We start from the raw sequence: 11,756 nt of genomic DNA, 5'->3' as shown, positions 1-11,756 counted from the left end.
TTTGCCATGGCCCTATAGGAGTGAATGTCTGGCTGCTTCCCTGGCCTTTCCTTTCACTCTCTCTTTGGTTGGCTATAGTCGAGCCACATTCACCTACTTTCTTTTTCTGAACACTTCAAGCCTTTGCACCTTTTGATCCCTCTGCCTGGGACGCTTCACAGAACTGGCTTATTTAGGTCTTATGCCAGAGACAATTCCCCTAACTTTTCCCCATCTCTCTTCTGCTTCCCTGTAAAACTTTCCATCCCCACAACCTCCATACACTCTATTTTTTTTTTTAATTTTATTTTTTTATTTTTATTTTTTTGAGACAGAGTCTGCCTCTGTCGCCCAGGCTGGAGTGCAGTGGTGCGATCTTGGCTCACTGCAAGCTTCGCCTCCCGGGTTCACGCCATTCTCCTGCCTCAAGCCTCCCGAGTAGCTGGGACTACAGGCGCCTGCCACCAGGCCTGGCTAATTTTTTTTTTGTATTTTTATTAGAGACAGGGTTTCACCGTGTTAGCCAGGATGGTCTCGATCTCCTGACCTCGTGATCTGCCCGCCTGGGCCTCCCAAAGTGCTGGGATTACAGGCGTGAGCCACCGAGCCCGGCCTCCATACAGTCTCCTTTTAAAAATTAGTTGACTTTGTTTACATGTTTATTATTTCTTTTCTCTACTAGAATTTAAGCACCATGAGTCAGAAACTTGGTTCTAAGATGGTGCATAGTGGGTATTCAATAAATACTTGCAAATGAAGGAATTGGTCATTACTTTTTCTTCCGTTTTAAAAATGAGAAAACCAAGACTGTAAAAATTAAATACTTTTTCCTAATGTCACAGATATTAAAAGGCAGAACTGAGATGCGAACCCAAGTTTTTCTGATTTAGGAGCCGTTTAAAACTCTATTATATAATTTTCTGCTAGAATAAATTAACGGAGGACAGAGGCAGAGCATAATCCCCCACTCACAAAACTGAAAGAAGAATTGTCTTTGTAGCTATATAGACTTAGGAAGAAATTCCATGAATTTTATTAGATTCTCAAAGGAGTTCTTGAGCCCCCAAATTTTAATCATTGTCTCTTTGGTTGCTACTATGGCAACTTACAATGTTAGAGTCTCAATACAGTACGAAAAATTTAAACTGCTTGCTGACTAAAGCATTATGTTATCCAGTCCTAAACATAAACATTTGTCAACACTTTAACTTTTCTGGATTTAATACATTTTTTCACAGGCCATTGGGCATCCCTATTTGCCTCCATACTGGTCTCTGGGATTTCAGCTGTGTCGATGGGGTTACAATAGCCTAGATATGCTGAAAACCACAGTTGGACATTTAAGACAATATGATATTCCCCATATAAATGTACTCAAACAGTATGGAGGGCATTGAGAGGAACAAGGAAATCAGAAAGTATAGTAATTATCCTGTAATATATATGTGTGTGGATGTGGATGTGTGTGTGTATAAGAGAGAGAGACGTGTAACTGTAATCATTTTCATATATTATCTTCTCAGTTCCAATAAAATAATCATTTTCATTCTCTTTTTCTTACAAGATAACCCAAAACTCACACTAATATTTAAATTTCTAATTGAATGCAGTCACTTATAAGCTACTTGTGAATCTGCAACAATATCTGTTTGTCTGTTTTCCTGATGTTGGAATCTTATATCTGTGTTGCTCCTTGGTACAGGATGTTCAGTATTGTGATATCGACTGCATGGAACGTCAGATGGACTTCATATATGATGAGGACAAATTTGATGGTCTGCCTGAGTACATTAAGGAACTGAAAATGATGGAATGCAATATATCATTGTTTTGGTAAATTTCTTTTGAAGATCAAACACAATATTTTAATTTATATTTTCTAAGCATTTCTAAATATATATATATATTATAATTAATTTATCAAAAAGTAGAAGTCCCAACACTAGTATAATCTTGAGGAATAAAATTTTATAATATTTAATGATAAATGTTATGTTTCATTAAAGGATGATAGATTATAAGTACATTTTATGTTATTTAATGACATAGAAATGTCATCAAGTGATGAAGGAATTCAGTTTAGTTTTTAAAACTCAGTGCTCTTGCTAAAAGAAAATTAACATATTGATTTCACCATCGAGGTTTTTTCCACCATTTCACAGCTTTATCTCAAAGAAGCAACAAACACAAAACCAGGTAAGGTTGCATACCAAAATAGCAAGAGTATTTCCTTTATCTATTCGTATAACTTTCAAAAATTTTTATATAAAATTTGTGTGGGTACATAGTAGGTGCATGTATTTATGAGGTACATGCATAATGTACCTTTGATACAGGCGTGCTATGTGTAATAATCACTTTAGGCTAAATGAGGAACCCATCACCTCAAGCATTTATCCTTTGTGTTACAAACAATCCCATTATGCTCTTTAAATTATTTTTGAATGCACAATTAAATTATTATTGACCGCAGTTACCCTATTGTATTATCAAATACTATTCTTTATTCTTTCTATTTTTTTTGTGTCCATTAAGCATCCCCACTTCCCCCCACCCCATACTATGCACCCCAGCCTCTGATAACCTTTCTTCTATTTTTATCTCTATGAGTTGAATTGTTTTAATGTTTAGAACCCACAAATAAGTGGCAACATGTGATCTTCATCTTTCTGTGCCTGGCTTATTTCTCTTAACATAATGATCTCCAGTTTTATCCATGTTGCTGCAAATGACAGGATCTCGTTCTTTTTTATGGCTGAATAGTACTCCATCTTCATTGCATCTAAGTACTACATTTTCATTATCTGTTCATTTGTTGATGAATACTTAGGCTGCTTCCATATCTTGGCTATTGTGAATAGTGCTATCATATTGAAGAGATTGCAGATATCTCTTCAACACACTGATTTCCTTTCTTTTGGGTGTGTACACAGCAGTGGGATTGCTGGATCATATGGTAGCTCTATTTTAGTTTTTTGAGGAAACTAACTGATTCTCCATAGTGGTTGTACTAATATACATTCCCACCAACTGTGTATGAGGGTTCCTGTTTCTCCACATCCTTACCAGCATTTGTTATTGCCTGTCTTTTGGATATAAGCCTTTTTAACTGGGGCGAGATGATATCTCATTGTAGTTTTGATTTGCATTTCTCTGATGATCAATAGTATGCACCTTTTCATATACTTGTTTGCCATTTGTATATCTTCTTTTGAGAAATGTTCATTCAGATCTTTTGCCTATTTCTAGTTTGATTTTTCCTATAGAGTTGTTTGAGCTCCTTATATATGCTGGTTATTAATCCCTTGTCAGATGGGTAGTTTGCAAATGTTTTCTCCCATTCTGTGGGTTGTCTCTTTACTTTGTTGATTGTTTCCTTTGCTCTGCAGAACCTTTTAAACTAGATGAGATCCTATTGGTCCATTTTTGCTTTGGTTGCCTATATTTGTGGGATATCACTGAAGAAACCTTCACCTACTCCAATGTCTTGGAGAGTTTCCCCAATGCTTTCTTCTAGTAGTTTCAGAGCTTCAGGTCATAGGTTAAAATATTTAATCCAATTCAGCTTGATTTTTGTATATGGCATGAAATAAGGCTCTAGTTTCATTCTTCTACATATAGATATCCAGTTTTCCCAGCACTATTGATTGAAGAGACAGTCTTTTTCCCAACATATGTTCTTGGCACCTTTGTCAAAAATGAGTTCACTGTAGATGTATAGATTTGTTTCTGGGTTCTCTAGTCTGTCCCAGTGGTCAATATGTCTGTGTTTATGACAGTACCATGCTGTTTTGATTATGATGTCTCAGTAGCATACTTTGAAGTCAGGTAATGTGATTCCTCCAGTTTTGTTCTTTTTGCTCAGAATAGCTTTGGCTATTTTGTGTCTTTTGTGGTTCCATATAAGTTTTAGGATTGTTTTTTCTATTTCTATGAAGAATCTCATTGGTATTATGATAGAGATTCCATTGAAACTGTAGGATGCTTTTGGTAGTATGGACATTTAAACAATATTCATTTTTCTATTCCATGAACATAGAATATCTTTCCATTCTTTTGTATCCGCTTCAATTTCTTTCATCAATGTTTTATAGTTTTCACTGTAGAGCCCTTTCGTTTCATTGGGTAACTTATTTCCTAGGTATTTTATTTTATTTGTGGCTACTGCAGATGGGATTGCTTCCTTGATTTCTTTTTCAGATTGTTAGCTGTTGGTATACAGACATGCCACTGATTTTTGTATGTTGATTTTGTATCCTGCAGATTTACTGAACTTTTGTATCAGTTCTAACAGATTTTGGTTGGAGTCTTTAGGTTGTTCCAAATACAAGATTATATCATCTGCAAACAAGGGAAATTTGACTTCTTCCTTTCCAATGTATATTTCTTTCTCTTTTCTGATTGCTCTAGCTAGGACTTCCAGTACTAGGTGTTGAAGTCTCCAGCTTTTATTGTATTGGGGTCTACTCCCCCTTTAGCTCTAATAATATTTGCTGTGTAAGTCTGGGTGCTGCAGTGTTGGGTACCTATACATTTGTAATTGTTGTGTACTCTTTCTGAATAAACCCTTTATCATGATACAATCATCTTCTTTGTCTTTTATAGTTTTTGCCTTGAAATCTATTTTGTCTGATATAGGTATAGCTACTCCTGCTTTTTTCTTGTTTCCATTTGCATGGACTCTTTTTCTATTTCTTTCTTTTCACTTTATTAGTTTCTTTATAATTGAAACCTTTTTCTTGTAGGCAAGAGATTGTTGGTTTTTTTCTTTAATCCATTCAGCCACTCTATGTCTTTTGATTGGACAGCTTCATCCATTTACATTCAATATTATTATTGATAAGTAATGACTTACTTCTGTCATTTTGTTGTTTTCCAGTTGTTCTGTTGTCTTCTCTCCTTTCCTTCCTTCCTGTCTTCCTTTTAGTGAATGTAATTTTCTCTGGTGGTATGTTTTAATGTCTTGCTTTTTATTTTTAGTATATCTGTTGTATATATTTTTGAGCTGAACTTGGCAAGAAGCTTTCAAATAATATCTTATAACCCATTTTTTCAAACAGATGACCACTTGACAGTGATTGCACAGAAAATCAAGCAAAGGGAAAACTAGTAAAAAATCTACACTTTAACTTCTTCCCCCTCTGTTTTAACTTTTTCTCGTTTCTATTTATATCTTATTGTACTATGTCTTGAAAAGTTGTCATAGTAGTTATTTTTTATTGGTTCGCCTTTCATCTTTCTACTTGAGTAGTTTATACACCACTTTTACAGTGTTACAGTATTCTGTGTTTTTCTGTGTACTTATTATTACCAGTGAGTTTTGTACCTTCAGATGATTTCTTATGGCTCATTTGCATCCTTTTCTTTCAGATTGAAGAACTCCCTTTAGCATTTCTTGTAGGACAGGTCTGGTGTTATGAAATTCCTCATCTTTTGTTTGTCTGGGAAAGTCTTTATCCTTTATATCTGAAGGATATTTTCACTGAATATACTATTCTAGAATAAAAGTTTTTTTCTTTTCCTTCAGCACTTTAAATATGTCATGCCACTCTCTTCTGGCCTGTAAGGTTTCCACTGATGAGCCTGCTGGCAGACTTATTGGAGCTGCATTGTATGTTATTTTTTTCTTTTCCCTTGCTGCTTTTAGGATTTTTTCTTTATCCTTGACCTTTGAGAGTTTGATTATTGAATGTCTTGAGGTAGTCTTATGTGGATTAAATCTGTTTGGTGTTCTATAACCTTCTTATACTTGAATATTGATATCTTTCTCTAAGATTGGGATGTTCTCTGTTATTATCCAATTGAATAAACTTTCTACCCCATCTCTCTCTCTATCTTCTCCTTAGGCCATTCAGTTAGATTTGACCTTTAAAGGCTGTTTTCTAGATCCTGTATGCATGCTTCATTCTTTCTCCTTTTGTCTCCTCTGACTGTCTATTTTCAAATACCCTGTCTTCAAGATCACTAATTCTTTATTCTACTTAATCAATTCTGCTGTTAGGAGACTGATGCATTCTTCAGTGTGTCAATTACATTGTTTAACTCCAGAATTTTTTCTTCTTAATGATTTCTATCTCTTTTTAAAATTTGTCTGGTAGGACTCTTAATTCCTTCTCTGTATTATCTTGAGTGTCCCCAAGTTCCCTCAAAACAGCTATTTTGAATTTTCCGTCTGAAAACTCATGTGTCTCTGTCTTTCCAGGATTTGTCATTGGTAGCTTATTTTGTTCTTTTTGTGAGGTTATGGATGATCTTGATGCTTGTGGATGTTTGTCAGTGTCAGGGCATTGAAGAGTTAGGTTTATTATAGTCTTCACAGTTTGAGCTGTTTTGTACTCATTCTTCCTGCGAAGGATTTCCAGGCATTTTAAGGGACTTGGGTGTTGTAATTTACAGTTTTAATCTCTGCAGCCAAATCTGCATTAGGGGGCACCCCAAGCCCAGTAACACTGTGGCTCTTGCTGACTCATAAAAGTACCACCTTGATTGTCTAGGATAAGATCCAGAAGAATTCTTTGGATTACCAGGCAAAGACTCTTGTTCTTTTTCCTTACTTTTTCCCAATCTCTGCCCCCTGCTTCCTCCCTCCCTTCCCTCCTTCCCTCTCTCTGCTGAGCTGCCTGGAGCTGAAGGAGGAGTGACGCAAGCCCCCTGTGGCCACCATCACTAGGACCGTGCTGGCTCAGACCTAAAGCCAGCATGGTGCTGGGTCTTGCCCAATGCCTGCTGTAACCACCACCTAGCTACCACCAATGTTCACTCAACACCCTAGGGTTCTACAGTTAGCAGGTGTCAAAGCCAGATAGGCTTATGTTCTTCCCTTCAGGGTGGTGAGCTTCTCCCAGCTCTGGATGTGTCCAGAGATGCCCTCTGGGAGCCAGGGCCTGGAGTCGGCAACTTTAGGAATATACCTGGTGCTCCATTCTACTGTGGCTGAACTGGCACTCCAGCCATAAGACAAAGTCCTTGCTACTCTTCCCTTTCCTCAAACAGAGGAGTCTCTCTCCTAGTGACCATCACCACCCCAGGCCCACAGTGAGTATAGCCTGGGTACTACTGATGTTCAATCAAGGCCTGAGGGCTCTTCAGTCAACTTGTGGTAAATGCTGCCAGGCCTGGGACCTTTCCTCAAGTGAAGTTGCTCCTCTTTTGCCCAGGGCAGGTCCAGAAGTGCTGCTCAAGAGCCAAAGTCTAGAATTGGGGGCCTTAAGAACCCACTTGGTGCTCTATCCCACTGTAGCAGAGCTAGTACCTAAGCTGTAAGACAAAGTCTCTTTTACACTTCCCTCTCTTTTTCTCAAAAGCAGTCTGTCACCATAGCCAGCAAGCTGGGAATGTCCAGGGTCACACCAGAAGCCAGCACATCTCCGAGTCTCACCCAAGTCCCATGGCAAATACTGCCTTGGCACCACTTCTGATAATTCAGGGCCAAGCACTCTTTAGTCAAAAGGTGATGAATCCTTCCTGGAGTGAGTCCTCCCCTTCAAGGCAATGGATTCCCTTCAGGCCCCGGGTGTGTCTAGAAATGTCTGGGAGCTAGGGCCTGGAATGGGTGCCCCAGAAATCTGTCCAGTGCCCTATTCTACTGTGGTTGAGCTGATATCCAAGTTGCAAAGACAATGTTCTCTTTACTCTTTCCTCTCCTCTCCTCAAGCAGGGAGAAGGAGCCTTTCTTGGAACTGTGAGCTGCACTGCCTGGGGTTGAGGGACATGTGATGCAAGCACTTTCTTGACCACCCTAACTGGTATCTTACTAGTCTGAATGTTCCCCAAAACTGCTGGTTCTGAGCCTAAGAATTGCAGTCCTTGTGACCTAGACCGCCTTTTCGGTTTGTTTAGGACCCCAGAGCACTTTAGCCTGCAGGGCTGAGGTTTGCTAGAATTCAGGTACCAATGGCTGGGATGGATGATTCTGGCTAGGGCTGGTCTAAATCCTCCCTCCGTGGGTTTCAGCTGAGTTCTGTCCAGTGTTGCTTTCCACTGTGACAGGGCAGCACTGAGTTCCAATGCAAAGTCCCACATATTCTCTCTCTGTGCCAGGAGGTCGCTGCTGGGGGATGGGGGAGGGTTGGTGTTAGCAATTCAAGACTGTCTTTCCTACCCTCTTCAGTGCCTCTTTTTGTAATATGAAGTTATAACCAAGTGCTGCCATCACTTACCCGATTTTTGGTTCTTACGAAGGTGCTTTTTTGTGTGGATGGTTGTTCAATTTGGTGTTCCTGAGGGGAGGATAATCCTTCAAGCTTTCTATTTAGCCATCTTGCTCTGCCTCTTGCTCCTATATCCTTTTAGTAAAGAAAATTGGATATTTTAATTAGAAGCAACTGATTCCACTGCTAAATTAACATTGCTTGGGTCCACATTTTGCAACACTAAAAAATTCATAGAAATAATTCTTATATTTGTAACTGTACTTAATAGGTGGGAAGATTTTAAAGTGTACAATATTAAACATTGTTTATATGAATATTGGAGATTCTTATTTCAAACATTTTTGTAATGTTTACACTTAAATATCAATCACCAGACAGACTCTTACCAGTGACAACGTTCTTGGGAATTTGTAGGATCCCTTTTTGACCAAAGATGAACCACCAAGGCACTTATAAGCCCTGTGAGCTTGGATAGGAAATGGGAATTTCGGTCAATAACTCTGATGGAGTCACGCCAGCTATTAGCAAGGTAAGCATGTTAAAGAATAAATGACAACCTCCTTTCTGTATTGAATATTTGATAAACAAGTGCAATTCACAGGGCCTCAGTGAACTGATACTGCCTGAGTTCAGTTCAAGAAAATTGTATTCAGCTTCTCCAGCTGTGTTAACTCCTGAGTGTTTGGAGCATTGGCCTACATAATAAGACGTTTTAAGAAATCATTTAAATCCCAGAGTATTGCCAAGAAATTCAAAAGAAATATTAGTATACTGTGTGACATCTTTTGAAAAGGCAATCTTTTATAATTATGGTAAAATTATAGAAAATGTTGATTGATATTATATTGGAAATTTAGGTTTTTGTAGATTGAGTAATGAGATATATAAAATATTTTTTAAGCAAAAAGAAGTTTTTAACTTTTTCTTTTGCACAATAGAAATATCCTTAATGCTTTTGCTTGTTTATCAAAGTAGTACAACATTGTAAAAAATATTGTGTAATACTGATTTTTATGAAGTAGAAAGTGACAGTTCTTCTTTATCTTCAATTCCCTAAAATATCACTGTTATCATTTTGGTGAGTATTCCTCCCAAATTTTAAATATATGTGATTATATTTTTAAATGAGAAATAAACTATATGTCATTTAAAACCTTTAAAAACAATGACAATGTTATGTATATATATTTTCATGTTAACACATATAAAGCTATCTCATCTTTTTAAATAGTTACATGACATTCCATTGTTCCCAGGTAAGAAAACTAGTTTAACCAGTCCCTAGTGATGGACATTTTCTTGTTTCTAGTATCTTAATATTATACTATTAATACGAATGTTGCAGTAAACACTTTATTACAGATTATTGTATATATTCTTGTCTCATTTTTTGCATATATTTTTAAAATGGAATAATTATATTTAAAAATATACATCCCAAATCTATAAAGATATTTTTCAATGTCCTCAAAATATACCAATTTGAACTCTTACCAAACAAGCCTCTTTACTCATTCACCAACACAGGGCAACCAAAAAGGTGAAAGGTATTTTCTTGTATTAATTACAGTTTTTCTATTACGAGTGAGGTTAAGCATCTTTTTCATAATATTTCTTGCCTCTTCTATTTCATTGTAAAAAATCACTACTCTTTTTGTCATTTTCCTACTGGGGAATTCTTTCTTTTTCTTATTGGCTTGTAAAATATTAATTCTGTTTTTTTAAACAGTTTATTCTGTCTTTTGCTAAATAGTTTTAAACTTTTTCATAGCCAAATCTACTTTTTTTCATAGTGGTTTCTGCCTTTGGTATCATGATTCAAAGGGCTTTCCTTCACTAAAATTTGTAAAAGTAGAATCCATATATTCTTAGAGAATTTTTAAGTTTTCTAAACACTTAAATTATGAATCTGCTTTAATTTTGTGTACAATGTTTGTCTTAATGTGCTTGAGCCACCATAACAAAAACTGAGTGACATAAACAGCAAAACTTGATATCCTACAGTTCTGGTGGCTAGAAAGTCCAAGACCAAGGTTTTGGCAGGGTCTGGTTTCTGGTTTGAGCTCTCTTCCTGGCTTGAAGACAGCCACCTTCTCATTATGTCCTCACAAGGCAAAGAGAGAAAGAGAGAGAGAGAGTGACAGACAAGAAAAGTTTTTAATAGGGGTACTAATCTTATGAGAGGCTCACCCTCATGATCTCATCTAAACCTAACCACCTCCCAAAGGCCCCATCTCTAAATACCATCATAATGAGGCTTAGGGCTTTGACATAGGCATTTTGGATAAACACAACTCAATCCGTAGCTGGAACATGACTTAATTTTTTTCCAAGTGGATAGATAATAGACCAAATGTCACCTATTAAATAATTCCACATTTCTGCATACTTTGAGATATCATCTTTATCATAGAGCAAATTTCCATATAGATGTCTATCTGTATCTTATCTCAGTTTTGTTGCATTGCTCTGTTTATCCATTCCTATATTCAGTTTTGTTTTACTTAATACGAGCTTATGGTAAGTTTTTGTAGACTTCTTATTTTTCTATAATTTGTAGCCAGTACCATTCACTTATACTTCCAAATGATTACAGAATCAAGTTACAAAACATACCTTTGGAATTTGGGTTAGAAATAGTTTGAATTTATAAATCAATTTGGAGCAACTTGACATTTATACAACGTTGAGTCTTTCCATCCACAGTCTTTCTGTTCATTCCTTATCTCTTAACTCGTATGTCATCTTTGGTATACTTCAAGAACATTCTATAGTTTTCATTATTCTTAAGGCTCTTGTTGACATCGTGGCTATATTACAGTTTTGTTGTTATTATAAATGTAATTTTTACATTTCCTAATCCTCATATTTGTATTAATATAGATTTATATGTGGAGAAAAATTGCTGAAATTATAGCAGCATAATAAAAATATTATTTCATGTACAATTTCATGGCTGAAAGAACACTGGACTGGGATTCTATTCCCATTCAACAATGAACTTGCTATATGCTTATACTATGTACTTGGTAAAGTTATTTAATTTTACTAGCTCTCAATTTTTGTTTGTATGGCTCAAAATGCAAAATGAAACCCAACTACAGAGATTTCTATACCATATTAGCTGGGTTGCATTATTTAGTTTGACTTACTTATCTATTGTAGGACTGGTCTCCAGGAGGATCAGTGTTTTCAGACTACACCAAACCCCAAACAGTAGATTGGTGGATCCAGATGTACAAGGAATTTAAGAACATCCTTGATTATGATAGGATCTGGATTGTAAGTCTAACCTTATTATTTAAAAATATTTGTCCTTGGTGAAAAAGTGGAGTGTTCATCCACTTGTCTTTTTTCAGCTTTTTTTCCCTCCTAACACTTCAACTTCTATGAGCCCGTCAACATGCAGCCTCCATACCAACTTCGCCACGGAGCCTTCACTGGCACTCTTACTAGAAGTAACTCCTCTTTTCTTTTAGTACAACAAATAAGTATTTATTGAGCACCTACTCTGTGCCAGGAGGCATTAGGGATACACTTAGAAAAACTCTTACCTTCATGGAGCTGACATTTTAGTTGGAGATATAGAAAATAAACAAAATAAGTAAGTAAAACATAGAGTAC

Source organism: Homo sapiens, chromosome 12 (genome assembly GCF_000001405.40).
Source record: "Homo sapiens chromosome 12, GRCh38.p14 Primary Assembly".
Classification (NCBI taxonomy): domain Eukaryota; kingdom Metazoa; phylum Chordata; class Mammalia; order Primates; family Hominidae; genus Homo; species Homo sapiens.
This window is presented reverse-complemented; position numbering follows the sequence as displayed.